The sequence below is a fragment of the Homo sapiens genome, chromosome 12, assembly GCF_000001405.40.
Source record: "Homo sapiens chromosome 12, GRCh38.p14 Primary Assembly".
Classification (NCBI taxonomy): domain Eukaryota; kingdom Metazoa; phylum Chordata; class Mammalia; order Primates; family Hominidae; genus Homo; species Homo sapiens.
The window spans coordinates 18,773,740-18,790,084 of NC_000012.12; the positions used below are offsets into that span (position 1 = coordinate 18,773,740).

Genomic DNA, 16,345 nt, shown 5'->3' on the forward strand with positions numbered 1-16,345 from the left:
ATGCACATGAGGAAAAATTTCTATAGGGTACCTAGGACTGCAACCATCAGTGATGGGTTATCCATATCTTTAACTCGGCAAGATATGGCCAAAGTGCATTTCACATTGATTGTAACAATCTCTGTATACTTGTGAAGTATATTGAAATTCTACTTGTGAAGTATGTTGAAATTTTTTGGCCTAGTCAAAGTTTTATTTGAATAAATGTTCCTTTATCATTTAAAAATAAAAAAATATTTTCTCTGCATGGATTACAATGTCAGATACCAAACTATTAGTTCAATTATTAATCATATTATTCAAATATTATATATGTTTTGTCTTCTTGCTCCAACATGAATATATAAAGGAGTATTAAAATATCCCACTATATTATTTGTGGATTTCAATTTTTAATTCTAACAGGTCTTGGTTTATAAATTATAATATTATTTCAGGATTTTTTTCATCTTAGTTGTGTATGGTAGTTATTAACATTATGAAATAACTGTCCTATTCTGAAGGTTTTGTCTTAATTTATACCTGTTTGATATGAATAATGTCATTCTTGCTTTTTTAAATTTTTGAAATCTTTCCTAATACATCTCTTTTTTCCTGTTTCATTTTACAATGGTGTACTTTTGTGTGAAGAATATTCCTTTGTTTAAAAAAAAACTGGTTAGATGGTGATTTATTTGTTCATATGGAGATTTGGCCTGTTTACATTAAATATCATTAATTGTTGAGTTTGCTTTTGTTTCAGTCAACTTTATTCTATGCATTCTATTCTTGATTTTCTTTATTATTCTGCTATTATTCTCTGCAAAAATTATAAAGAGAAAGAAACACATTTGTTCCTACTAGTGAATCTGGTAGTTTGGCAATGACCCATATTAAATTAATTCAATAACTGAACAGTATTATTTTACCTATCTTTTTGAAAAGTAGGGGTTCCTATTGGGTCCATGTTTCTCCTTCTGATCCTTGTAGATTTAATATTATAATAACAAGAATAGCCATAGTAATACCTAATATTTATTGAGTACTTACTATGTGCCAGTCAGTTTTAAGCACTTTATATGTTAACTCATTTTACCCTAACTACAACTCTACGAAACAGCTGTTATTCTTGTTTCCAGTTACAAGTAGGGAAATTGAGTTGCTGAGAGTTTAACTCAACCATGGTCATAAAACTTAGTATATGGTAGAGCTGAACTTTAAACCCAGAAACTTTGGAGCCAGAGCTCATATATTTAACTTCTACACTAAAGTCTTCCCTGAAATTTAACAATGTATAATTTCTATTTTATTATAAATTTAAAATATAACTTTAAAAGAAAAACACTGTATATAATTTAGTGTATTTAAAAAATTATTAAAACATTCCTTAGTTTAGCACCTACTTCATACATTTACTCAGGTATCGTCTTCTCAGCCCTGACTATCATATTTTAAATACAATACTCCATAAACTCCCATTGTATCCCCCTCTTGGATTTAGTTATTTTAATCATATGTATCATCATCCAGCACAGTATATATTACATTTATTCATTTTGCTTTTTCATCTTCTCCTCCACTAGAATTTAAACTTTATGGAGAAGATCTGCTTACAACTATATCCCTAGCACCTAGAACAGTGATCAAGGCCTAAGAGTCATTAAATAAATATTTTTTGAGTAAATGAAGAAATGAATTGAGTTTAGTAATCACCACTAGTTTTCTCCAATTGCTATTTCATCATTACTGCATTCTTATCTTTGACTCATTTTTCCAGTTTTCTTTTATATCTAAGAAGCACTTTCTGTGTCCTCACAGAAAATTTGTATGGTTACAGTCCTATTCTTTTCAAATAATTTCCCCTAGAACTCTGTCATTTCTGAATTCTTATAATATTCACTGGAAAAGAAAACAATTCTGAGGACACTTTAATTTTTATCTCCTTGTATGTAATCTGAGCTTTTCTCTTAATTATTTATTTCAATGGGAAATTTGGAAAGAGAGATGCATATTCTAAGAAAAACATCTAACTTTGAAATCCCTCATCATGATGTAAACTGAATGCATTGTTTGGAAAGTTTAGCATCTGTGGAGATACGATGTAAATGAAAAGGGAAAAGAATGAATGGCATTATTAAATTTCAACATATGAACAGAACCAATAATGAAAATGCAATTGGAGCAAGGAAATAAAAAAAACTATAAGTAAGGAGGCAAAATTTTCCTGTAAAAAGAAACTGTCCTTAATTAAATTTTAAAATAATTTTAACACGCTGTTGCTTGTAAGAGTTACACTTAATATCCAGAAATATTAGCAACCTAAAAGTTAAGGCCCACTCTCTGTTCATTCTTTTGAGATCACAGAGCAGAGTTTGTTATCACTTTACCTACGATGGGTGTTACAATGGAACAGTAAAGGACAGAAAGACCTCAAAAGGCACAGTTAACTTTATATCAAGTGCCTACAGTGGCAAATATATTGACTGCACAGAGAAGGCTGTCAAAGTAGGAATAAGGCAGCACTCTCTCCCAGTTGGGAGTGCAGTTTCCTTAGCGTATTAGTTTCCTATTGCTGCTATAACAAAGTACCATAAACTCACTGCTTAAAACAATGTATAGGAGAGGTGGAGCAAGAGGGCTGAATAGAAGTTTCCACCAGTTGTTTCCCTGGAAGGAACACCAATTTAACAACATATCTACATTTTTTAAGAAAACACCTTCATAACAACCAAAAATCAGGTGAGCACTCATAATACCTGGTTTTAACTTCATGTCATTGAAAGATGCACTGAAGAGGGGAGAAAAGACAGTCTTGAATCTTCCACACCACCCCTGCGCCATCCCTGGCAGCAGCTGCCTGACACAGAAAGAGAATCTGTGCTTTTGGGAAAGGAAAAGTGTAGCAATTGTGAGACACTGCATTGAACTTAGTGCTACTCTGTCATAGCAGTGAGCAAAACTGGGCTGAACTCAGCTGATGCCCATTGATGGAGGAAGTATTTAAGCCAGCCCTATCCAGAGGGGAATTGCCCATCCCAGCAGTCAGAACTTGACTTTCAGCAAGCCTTGCTGCCATGGGCTAAAGTGTTCTGGGGTTCTAAATAAACTTGAAAGGCAAAGGCTGCCTAGGCCACAAAGACTGCAATTCCTAGGCAAGACCTAATGCTGTGCTGGGCTTGGTACCAGTGGACTTGGGGAGCACATGACCTAGTGAGACATCAGCCAGGGCAGCTAAGAGAGTGCTTGTGCCACCTCTCTCCAACCCCAGGCTGCACAGCTCGTGAATTGAAAAGACACCCTCTTTCGCTTGAGAGGAGGAAAGGGAAGAGTAAAGAGGACTCTGTCTTGAATACTAGCCCAGCCACAGTAGGATAAGGGCACCAGTCAGAGTAGTGAAGCCACTTCTCTAGGCCCTTGCTCCCAGATGACATCACCATGCCTGCCCTGGGACAAAAGAGAACGTACTTCCTTGAAGGGAAGGAGCCAGTCCTGTAGGACCCATCATCTGCTGACTAAAGAGCCCTTTGGTTCTGAAAAACCAGCAGCAATACCAAGGTAGCACACCATGGAGCTTGGGTGAGACTCTGAAACTTGCTGGTTTCAGGTAAGACTCAGCACATTCCCAGCTATGGTGTCTATGGGGAGAGACCCCTGCTTCTTGAGAAAAGTGGACAAAAAGGCCAAGTGGACTTTGTCTTGCACCTTAGGTAGCAGCTTGGCCAAAGAGGAATGGAGAACCAAGTGGGATCCTGGGGTCTCTAATTCCAGGATTTGGCTCATGGAGGGCATTTCAGAACCTGCCCTGGGCCAGAGACGAGCCCACTTCCCTGAAGGGTTAGACCCAGGCCAGGCAACATTTACCACAAGCTGAATGAAGAGCCCTTGGGCCTCGAGGGAACACTGACAACAGTCAGACAAAATAATAGTGGGAGACTTTAACACCCCACTGTCAATATTAGACAGATCAATGAGACAGAAAATTAACAAGGTTATTCAGGACTTGAACTCAGCTCTAGATCAAGTGGACCTAGTAGACATCTACCGAAGTCTCTATCCCAAATCAACAGAATGTACATTCTTCTCAGTGCCACTTGGCCCTTATTCTAAAATCAACCACATAATTGGAAGTAAAACACTCCTCAGCAAATGAAAAAGAACTGAAATCATAACAGTCTCTCAGACCACAGTGCAATCAAATTAGAACTCAGGATTAAGAAACTCACTCAAAACCACACAATTACATGGAAACTGAACAACCTGCTGCTGAATGACTCCTGGGTAAATAATGAAATTAAGGCAGAAATAAGGAAGTTCTTTGAAACCAATGAGAACAAAAAGACAATGTACCAGAATCTCTGGGACACAGCTAAAGCAGTGTTAAGAGGGAAATTTATAGCACTAAATGCCCATATCAGAAAGCTAGAAGGATCTCAAACTGACACCTTAACAACACAATTAAAAGCATTAGAGAAGCAAGAGCAATGTATTCCAAAACCCAGCAGAAGATAAGAAATAACTAAGATCAGAGCAGTATTGAAGAAAATAGAGACACAAAGAACCTCCAAAGGAAAAAAAAAAAAAAAGATCAATGAATCCAGGAGCTGGTTTTTTGAAAAAATTAACAAAATAGAGCACTAGCTAGACTAATAAAGAAGAAAAGAGATAAAAATTTAATAGACACAATAAAAAAGGTGATATCACCCCTGACCCCACAGAAATACAAACTACCATCAGAGAATACTATAAAGACCTCTATGCAAATAAACTAGAAAATCTAGAAGAAAATGATAAATTCCTGGACACATACACCCTTCCAAGACTAAAGCAAGAATAAGTCAAATACCTAAATAGACCAATAACAAGGTCTGAAATTGAAGCAGAAATTAATAAATTTCTGGACACATACACCCTACCAAGACTAATCCAGGAATAAGGTGAATCCCTGAATAGACCAATAACAAGCTCTGAAAATCAGGCAGTAATTAAGAGCTTCACAAAAAAAAGTCCAGGACCAGATGGATTCACAGCTGAATTCTACCAGAAATACAAAGAGGGGCTGATACCATTCCTTCTGAAACTATTCCAAACAATTGAAAAGGAAGGACTCCTGCCTGACTCATTTTATGAAGCCAGCATCAACCTGATACCAAAACCAGGAGGAGACAAAACAAAAAGAGAAAACTTCAGGCCAATATCCCTAATGAACATTAATGCAAAAATCTTCAATAAAATACTGGCAAAACAAATCCCGCAGCACATCAAAAAATTTATCCACCATGATCAAGTCACCTTCATCCCTGGGATGAAAAGCTGGTTCAACATATATAAATCAATAAACATAGTCCATTACATAAACAGAGCCAAAGACAAAAACTACATGATTATCTCAATAGATGCAGAAAAGCCCTTTAATAAAATTCAACATCCCTTCAAGTTAAAAACTCTCAATAAACTAGGTATTGATGGAACATATCTCATAATAGTAAGAGCCATTTATGAAAAATCCACCACCAATATCATATGGAATGGGCAAAAGCTGGAAGTATTCCCTCTGAAAACTGGTACAAGACAAGGATGCCCTCTCTCGCCACTCCTATTCAACATAGTATTGGAAGTTCTGACCAGGGCAATCTCTTGATGCCTTTCAGATCCTTTATTTATCTTTGACTTTTGGGAGTTTGATCATTAAATGTCTTGAGATAGTCTTCTTTGGGTTAAATCTGCTTGGTGTTCTATACCCTTCTTATATTTGGATATTGATATCTTTCTCTAGTCTTGAGAAGTTCTCTGTTATTATCCCTTTGAATAAACTTTCTAACTCTCTCTCTCTACCTCCTCTTTAAAGCCAATAACTCTTAGATTTGCCCTTTTGAGGCTATTTTCTAGGTTCTGTAGGCATGCTTCCTTGTTTTTTTTTTTTTTTCTTTTGTCTCCTCTGACTGTGTATTCAATAAGAAGAGAGAAAGTCAAGATGTCTCTGTTTGCAGATGACATGGTTTTATATTTAGAAAAGCCCATCATCTCAGCCCAAACACTTCTTGAACTGATAAGCAACTTCAGCAAAGTCTCAGGATACAAAATCAGTATGTGCAAAAATCACAAGCATTCCTTTACCCCAATAGGTAAGCAGAGAGCCAAATCATGAATGAACTCCCATTCACAATCACTACAAAGAGAATAAAATACCTAGGAATACAGCTAACAAGGGATGTGAAGGACCTCTTCAAGCAGAATTACAAACCACTGCTCAAGGAAATAAGAGAGGACACAAACAAATGGAAAAACATTCTATACTCATGGATAGGAAGAATCAACATTGCAAAAATGGCCACACTGCCCAAAGTAATTTATAGGTTCAGTGCTAGTCCCTCAAACTACCATTGACATTCTTCACAGAATTAGAAAAAACTATTTTAAATTTCATGTGGAATCAGAGAAGACCCCATATAGTCAAGACAATCCTAAGTAAAAACAACAAAGCTGGAGACATCACGCTACCTGACTTCAAACTATATTACAAGGCTACAGCAAATAAAACAACATGGTACTGGTACCAAAACAGACATATAGACCAGTGGAGCAAAACAGAGACCATGGAAATAACACCAAACATCTACAACCATCTGTTCTCCAACAAACCTGAGAAAAACAAGCAATGGGGAAAGGATCTCCTATTCAGTAAACGGTGCTGGGAAAACTGGATAGCCATATGCAGAAAATTGAAACTGGACCCCTTCCTTATACCTTATACAAAAATTAACTCAATATGGATTAAAGACTTAAATGTAAAACCCAAAGCCATAAAAGCCCTAGAAGAAAACCTAGGCAATACCATAATTCAGGACATAGGCATGGGCAAAGACTTCATGAGGAAAACGCCAAAAGCAATTGCAACAAAAGTCATAATTGACAAGTGAGATCTAATTAAACTAAAGAGCTTCTGAACAGCAAAAGAAACCATCATCAGAGTGAACAGGCAACCTACAGAATGGGAGAAAATTTTTGAAATCTACCCATCTTACAAATGTCTAATGTCCAGAATTGACAAGGAACTTAAACATATTTACAAGAAAAAGACAAACAACCCCATCAAAAAGTGGCCAAAGGATATGAACAGACACTTCTCAAAAGAAGACATTAACACAGCCAACAAACATATAACAAAAAGCCCGATGTCACTGACCACCAGAGAAATGCAAATCAAAATCACAAAGAGATACCATCTCACACCAGTAAGTATGGCAATTGTCAAAAAGTCAGGAAACAATAGATATTGGCAAGGCTGTGGAGAAATAGGAACACTTTTACACTGTTTTTGGGAATGTAAATTAGTACAATCATTGTGGAAGACAGTATGGTGATTCCTCAAGGATCTAGAACCAGAAATACCATTTGAACAAGCAATCTCATTACTGGGTATATACCCAGAGGATTATAAATCATTCTACTATAAAGACACACACACGTATATGTTTATTACAGCACTATTTACAATAGCAAAGACATGGAACCAACCCAAATGACCATCAATGATAGACTGGATAAAGAAAATGTGGTACATATACACCATGGACTACTACACAGCCATAAAAAAGAATGCTATCGTGTACTTTGTAGGGACATGGATGAAGCTGGAACCCATCATCCTCAGCAAACTAACACAGAAACAGAAAACCAAACACCACATGTTCTCATGTGGGAGCTGAACGTTCAGAACACATGGACACAGAGAGGGGAGCAACACACACTAGGGCCTTTTGAGGTGTGGGGGGTGAGGGGAGGGAAATTAGAGGATGGGTCAATAGGTGCAGCAAACCAGCATGGCACGTGTACACCTATGTAACAAACCTGCACATTCTGCACATGTATCCTGGTTTTATTTTAGAAGAAATAAAGAAAAAATACATATAAACAAAACTACACAGTCAGAGGAGACAAAAAAAAAAGAATAAAAAACAAGGAAGCATGCCTACAGGACCTAGAAAATAGCCTCAAAAGGGCAAATCTAAGAGTTACTGGCTTTAAAGAGGAGGTAGAGAGAGAGAAAGAGTTAGAAAGTTTATTCAAAGGGATAATAACAGAGAACTTCTCAAGACTAGAGAAAGATATCAATATCCAAACATAAGAAGGGTATAGAACACCAAGCAGATTTAACCCAAAGAAGACTATCTCAAGGCATTTAATGATCAAACTCCCAAAAGTCAAAGATAAATAAAGGATCTGAAAGGCATCAAGAGAAAAGAAACAAATAACATACAATGGAACCCAATATATCTGGCAGCAGACTTTTCAGTGGAAACCTTACGGGCCAAGAGAGGGTGGCATTTAAAGTGCTGCAGGAAAAAAAATTTTACCCTAGAATACTATGTTTGGTGGAAATATCCTTCACATATGAAGGGAAAATAAAGACTTTCACAGACAAACAAAAGTTGAGGGATTTTATCAACACTGGACCTGTCCTACAAGAAATGTTCAAGAGAGTACTTCAATCAGAAAGAAAAGGATGTTAATGAGCACTAATAAATTACCTCAAGGCACAAAACTCACTGTTAATAATATATACACATGTAATCACAGAATATTATAAAACTGTAACTGTGGTGTGTAAACTAGCCTTATATTAAGTAGAAACATAAAATGATGAACCCATCAAAAATAATAACTACAAAAACTTTTCAAGATACAGCCAGTACAATAAGGTATAAATAGAAACAACAAAAAGTTAAAAAGCAGGGAGACCAAGTTAAGGTGTAGAGTTTTTATTAATTTTCTTTTTGCTTGCTTGTTTATTTATGCAAACAATGTTAAGTGGTTATCAGCTTAAAATAATGGGTTGTAAGATAAGATTTGTAAGCCTCATGTTAACCTCAAATCAAAAAAATACACTGGATACATGAAAAATAAAAACCAAGAAAACGAATCATGCCACCAGAGAAAATCACCTTCACTAAAAGGAAGACAGGAAGAAAAAAAAAAAGAAGGAAAAAAAGACCACAAAACAACCAGAAAACAAATAAAAAATGGCAGGAGTAAGTCCTGTAAAAGGAAAATAAATCTTGGGACCCCAAAATCATTAAGCCAAAGGGAAAACTTCAGCTGGGAACTATGTCAGGCAAACATGCCTCCCACTTTATTCCTAAATAAGAAAGCTACAAATGTAAAAGATATACATACCTTCTCACGATTTGCTGACAAGAAAATTCCTTGTGGACCTTAAGATCTTCACTCTAAAACAGTTCTGCTGAATTTTATCTTGGCAATATAAATTGATAGCTTATCTTAACAGGTTCAGGACAAAGGACAGCACTGATAGTCATCCTTCTGCTCGCCTGAGACAACTGCATATCTGATTTCTTCCTCTGTCCAATTGTTTATGTAAAAATAGAGATTCTCTGAGGCAGATTAAGGCAGAAGTGACTATCTCCTACCCCAACCCCTCACATATAAATTGTATATTCAGTGAAAAGTTGATCAAAGACTCAAAAGAATGCAACCATCTGTCTTTTATCTACCTATGACCTGGCAGCCCCCATTTCAAGTTGTCCCGCCTACCAGATTGAACCAATGTACATATTACACATATTAATTGATTAATTAACAGGTAATATTACATATTACACATATTAATTGATTAATTAACATGTAATATTACATATTACACATATTAATTGATTACACATATTAATTGATTACACGTATTAATTAATCAATGTACCTATTACACATATCACATCTCCCAAAATATATAAAATCAAGCTGTACCACAACCACCTTGGGCATATGTCATCAGGACCTCCTGAGGCTGTGTCACGGTCATGTCTTTAACCTTGACAAAACAAACTTTATAAATTGATTGAGACCTGTCTCAGATACTTTTGGGTTCACAGTCCTTACTTATCAATAATAACACTGAATGTAAAAGGACTAAACTCTTCAATCAAAAGACACAGAGTGGCTGAATTTTTTTAAAAAAGACCCAATGATCTATTGCCTACAAGAAACACACTTTACCTGTAAAGACACACATAAACTGAAAATGAAGAGATGGAAAAAACTATTCCATGCAAGGAAAACCAAAGAACAGGAATAGCTATACTCCTATCAGACCAAATAAATTTCAAGACAAAAACAATAAGAAGAGATAAAGGCCACTATATAATGATAAAAGAGTCAATTCAGCAAAAGGATAAAACAATTGTAAATATATATGCACCCAACACTGGAGCACTCAGTTGTATAAAGCAAATATTATTAGAGCTAAAGAGAAAAATAGGCCCCAATACAATAATAGCTGGAGACTTCAGCACATCATTTTCAGTACTAAGCAGATCTTCCAGAGAGAAAATCAAAAAAGAAGCATCAGACTTCATCTGCACTATAGACCAAGTGGGCCTAATAGATCCTTACAGAACATTTCATTCAGTGGCTGCTGACTACACATTTTTTCCTCAGCACATGGATTACTTTCTAGGATAAACCTTATATTAGAACACAAAATAAGTCTCAAAACATTTTTTAAAAATTGAAATAATATCAAGCATCTTTTTTAAGGGATGTGTGTGTGTGTGTGTGTGTGTGTGTGTGTGTGCGCGCGTGTGCGTGTGTGTGTGTGTGTATGAGTGCGTTTTGTAGAGACAAGGTTTCTCCATGTTGCCCAGGCCGGTCTCAAACTCCTGGGTTCAAGTGATCCATCCTCCTCACCCTCCCAAAGTGCTTGGATTACAGGTGTGAGCCACTATGCCCAGCCTAATATTGAGTATCTTCACTGACCACAATGGAATATAACTAGAAATCATTAAGAAGAGAAATTTTGGAAACTGTACAAACTCATGGAAATTAATCAATATGCTCCTAAATGACCAGTGTGTCCATAAAGAAATTAAAAAGAAAATTTAAAAATTTCTTGAAACAAATGATAGTGGAAACACAACATAACAAAACCTATGGGACAAAGCAAAAGCAGTTCTATGAAGGAAGTTTATAGCTATAAGCACCCACATCAAAAAAGGAGGAAAAACTTCAAATAAACAGCAAAATAATGCATCATATAGAACTAGAAAAGCAAGAGCAAACCAAACCCAAAATTAGTAGAAGAAATAATAAAGATCAGAGCAAAAATAAATAAAATTGAAATGAAGAAAACAATACAAAAGATCAATGAAACAAAAAGTTGTTTTTTTGAAAAGATAAACAAAATTGACAAAACTTTTTAGCCAAACTCTGCAAGAAAAAAGAGAGAAGTCTCAAATAAATAAAATCAGAGTTGAAAAGGAGGACATCACAACTGATACTGAAGAAATTCAAAGGTTAATTAGGTGCTACTATGAGCAACTATATGCCAATCACCTGGAAAATCTAAAAGAAACAGATAAATCCTTAGAAACAGACAACCTACCAAGACTGATCCATGAAGAAAGTCCAAAACCTGAGCAGATCTATAACAAGTAATGAGATCAAAGCTGTAACAAAATTTCTTCCAGTAAAGAAAAGCAAGAGGAAGCAGCCAAGATGGCCGAATAGGAACAGCTCCGGTCTACAGCTCCCAACATGAGCGACGCAGAAGATGGGTGATTTCTGCATTTCCGTCTGAGGTACCGGGTTCATCTCACTAGGGAGTGCCAGACAGTGGGCACAGGACAGTGGGTGCAGCACACCCTGTGTGAGCCGAAGCAGGGTGAGGCATTGCCTCACTTGGGAAGCGCAAGGGGTCAGGGAGTTCCCTTTCCTAGTCAAAGAAAGGGGTGATGGACGGCACCTGGAAAATCGGGTCACTCCCACCCTAATACTGCACTTTTCCAACAGGCTTAAAAAACGGCACACCAGGAGATTATATCCCGCACCTGGCTCGGAGGGTCCTATGACCAAGGAGTCTCGCTGATTGCTAGCACAGCAGTCTGAGATCAAACTGCAAGGCAGCAGTGAGGCTGGGGGAGGGGTGCCCGCCATTGCCCAAGCTTGCTTAGGTAAACAAAGCAGCCTGGAAGCGTGAACTGGGTGGAGCCCACCACAGCTCAAGAAGGCCTGCCTGCCTCTGTAGGCTCCACCTCTGGGGGCAGGGCAGAGACAAACAAAAAGACAGCAGTAACCTCTGCAGACTTAAATGTCCCTGTCTGACAGCTTTGAAGAGAGCAGTGGTTCTCCCAGCATGCAGCTGGAGATCTGAGAACGGGCAGACTGCCTCCTCAAGTGGGTCCCTGACCCCTGACTCCTGAGCAGCCTAACTGGGAGGCACCCCCCAGTAGGGGCAGACTGACACCTCACACGGCCGGGTACTCCTCTGAGACAAAACTTCCAGAGGAACAATCAGACAGCAGCATTCGCAGTTCATGAAAATCCACTGTTCTGCAGCCACGGCTGCTGTTACCCAGGCAAACAGGGTCTGGAGTGGACCTCTAGCAAGCTCCAACAGACCTGCAGCTGAGGGTCCTGTCTGTTAGAAGGAAAACTAACAAACAGAAAGGACGTCCACACCAAAAACCCATCTGTATGTCACTATCATCAAAGACCAAAAGTAGATAAAACCACAAAGATGGGGAAAAAACAGAGCAGAAAAACTGGAAACTCTAAAAAGCAGAGCGCCTCTCCTCCTCCAAAGGAACACAGTTCCTCACCAGCAACGGAACAAAGCTGGATGGAGAATGACTTTGATGAGTTGAGAGAAGAAGGCTTCAGATGATCAAACTACTACGAGCTACAGAAGGAAATTCAAAGCAAAGGCAAAGAAGTTGAAAACTTTGAAAAAAATTTAGAAGAATGTATAACTAGAATAACCAATACAGAGAAGTGCTTAAAGGAGCTGATGGAGCTGAAAGCCAAGGCTCCAGAACTACGTGAAGAATGCAGAAGCCTCAGGAGCCGATGCGATCAACTGGAAGAAAGGGTATCAGTGATGGAAGATGAAATGAATGAAATGAAGTGAGAAGAGAAGTTTACAGAAAAAAGAATAAAAAGAAATGAACAAAGCCTCCAAGAAATATGGGACTATGTGAAAAGACCAAATCTACGTCTGATTGGTGTACCTGAAAGTGACGGGGAGAATGGAACCAAGTTGGAAAACACTCTGCAGGATATTATCCAGGAGAACTTCCCCAATCTAGCAAGGCAGGCCAACATTCAGATTCAGGGAATACAGAGAACGCCATAAAGATACTCCTCGAGAAGAGCAACTCCAAGACACATAACTGTCAGATTCATCAAAGTTGAAATGAAGGAAAAAATGTTAAGGGCAGCCAGAGAGAAAGGTCGGGTTACCCACAAAGGGAAGCCCATCAGACTAACAGCAGATCTCTTGGCAGAAACTCTACAAGCCAGAAGAGAGTGGGGGCCAATATTCAACATTCTTAAAGAAAAGAATTTTCAACCCAGAATTTCATATCCAGCCAAACTAAGCTTCATAATTGAAGGAGAAATAAGATACTTTACAGACAAGCAAATGCTGAGAGATTTTGTCACCACCAGGCCAGCCCTAAAAGAGCTCCTGAAGGAAGCACTAAACATGCAAAGGAACAACTGGTACCAGCCACTGAAAAATCACGCCAAATTGTAAAGACCATCAAGGCTAGGAAGAAACTACATCAACTAACGAGCAAAATAACCAGCTAACATCAAAATGACAGGATCAGATTCACACATAACAATATTAACTTTAAATGTAAATGGACTAAATGCTCCAATTAAAAGACACAAGACTGGCAAATTGGATAAAGAGTCAAGACCCATCAGTGTGCTGTATTCAGGAAACCCATGTCATGTGCAGAGACACACATAGGCTCAAAATAAAAGGATGGAGGAAGATCTACCAAGCAAATGGAAAACAAAAAAAGGCAGGGGTTGCAATCCTAGTCTCTGATAAAACAGACTTTAAACCAACAAAGATCAAAAGAGACAAAGAAGGCCATTACATAATGGTAAAGGGATCAATTCAACAAGAAGAGCTAACTATCCTAAATATATATGCACCCAATACAGGAACACCCAGTTTCATAAAGCAAGTCCTGAGTGACCTACAAAGAGACTTAGACTCCTACACATTAATAATGGGAGACTTTATCACCCCACTGTCAACATTAGACAGATCAACGAGACAGAAAGTTAACAAGGATACCCAGGAATTGAACTCAGCTCTGCACCAAGCAGACCTAATAGACATCTACAGAACTCTCCACCCCAATTCAACAGAATATACATTTTTTTCAGCACCACACCACACCTATTCCAAAATTGACCACATAGTTGGAAGTAAAGCTCTCCTCAGCAAATGTAAAAGAATAGAAATTATAACAAACTGTCTCTCAGACCACAGTGCAATCAAAATAGAACTCAGGATTAAGAAACTCACTCAAAACCTCTCAACTACATGGAAACTGAACAAACTGCTCCTGAATGACTACTGGGTACATAACGAAATGAAGGCAGAAATAAAGATGTTCTTTGAAACCAACGAGAACAAAGACACAACATACCAGAATCTCTGGGACACATTCAAAGCAGTGTGTAGAGAGAAATTTATAGCACTAAATGCCCACAAGAGAAAGCAGGAAAGATCCAAAATTGACACCCTAACGTCACAATTAAAAGAACTAGAGAAGCAAGAGCAAACACATTCAAAAGCTAGCAGAAGGCAAGAAATAACTAAAATCAGAGCAGAACTGAAGGAAATAGAGACATAAAAAACCCTTCAAAAAATTGTTGAATCCAGGAGCTGGTTTTTTGAAAAGATCAATAAAATTGATAGACCACTAGCAAGACTAATAAAGAAGAAAAGAGAGAAGAATCAAATAGACACAATAAAAAATGATAAAGGGGATGTCACCACCGATCCCACAGAAATACAAACTACCATCAGAGAATACTACAAACACCTCTACACAAATAAACTAGAAAATCTAGAAGAAATGTATAAATTCCTCGACACATACACCCTCCCAAGACTAAACCAAGAAGAAGTTGAATCTCTGAACAGACCAATAACAGGCTCTGAAATTGAGGCAATAATCAATAGCTTAGCAACCAAAAAGAGTCCAGGACCAGATGGATTCACAGCCGAATTCTACCAGAGGTACAAGGAGGAATTGGTACCATTCCTTCTGAAACTATTCCAATCAATAGAAAAAGAGGGAATCCTCCCTAACTCATTTTATGAGGCCAGCATCATCCTGATACCAAAGGCTGGCAGAGACACAACAAAAAAAGAGAATGTTAGACCAATATCCTTGATGAACATTGATGCAAAAATCCTCAATAAAATACTCGCAAACTGAATCCAGCAGCACATCAAAAAGCTTATCCACCATGATCAAGTGGGCTTCATCCCTGGGATGCAAGGCTGGTTCAATATACGCAAATCAATAAATGTAATCCAGCATATAAACAGAACCAAAGACAAAAACCTCATGATTATCTCAAAAGACGCAGAAAAGGCCTTTGACAAAATTCAACAACCCTTCATGCTAAAAACTCTCAATAAATTAGGTATTGATGGGATGTATCTCAAAATAATAAGAGCTATCTATGACAAACCCACAGCCAATATCATACTGAATGGGCAAAAACTGGAAGCATTCCCTTTGAAAACTGGCACAAGACAGGGATGCCTTCTCTCACCACTCCTATTCAACATAGTGTTGGAAGTTCTGGCCAGGGCAATTAGGCAGGAGAAGGAAATAAAGAGTATTCAATTAGGAAAAGATGAAATTAAATTGTCCCTGTTTGCAGATGACATGATTGTATATCTAGAAAACCCCATTGTCTCAGCCCAAAATCTCCTTAAGCTGATAAGCAACTTCAGCAAAGTCTCAGGATACAAAATCAATGTACAAAAATCACAAGCATTCTTATACACCAATAACAGACAAACAGAGAGCCAAATCATGAGTGAACTCCCATTCACAATTGCTTCAAAGATAATAAAATACCTAGGAATCCAACTTACAAGGGACGTGAAGGACCTCTTCAAGGAGAACTACAAACCACTGCTCAATGAAATAAAAGAGCGTACAAACAAATGGAAGAACATTCCATGCTCATGGGTAGGAAGAATCAATATAGTGAAAATGGCCATACTGCCCAAGGTAATTTAGAGATTCAATGCCATCCCCATCAAGCTAACAATGACTTTCTTCAGAGAATTGGGAAAAACTACTTTAAAGTTCATATGGAACCAAAAAAGAGCCCACATCGCCAAGTCAATCCTAAGCCAAAAGAACAAAGCTGGAGGCATCACGCTACCTGACTTCAAACTATACTACAAGGCTACAGTAACCAAAACAGCATGGTACTGGTACCAAAACAGAGATATAGACCAATGGAACAGAACAGAGACCTCAGATATAACGCCACATATCTACAAATATCTGATCTTTGACAA

General features: G+C 37.7%; 1 long non-coding RNA gene across 3 annotated transcripts in view; it reads left to right on the plus strand.

Moving 5' to 3' along the window:
• LOC102724227 (uncharacterized) overlaps positions 1–16,345 on the plus strand; it is a 64,172-nt gene that overhangs the window by 20,580 nt on the left and 27,247 nt on the right. The gene's annotated exons all lie outside the window — the stretch shown is intronic.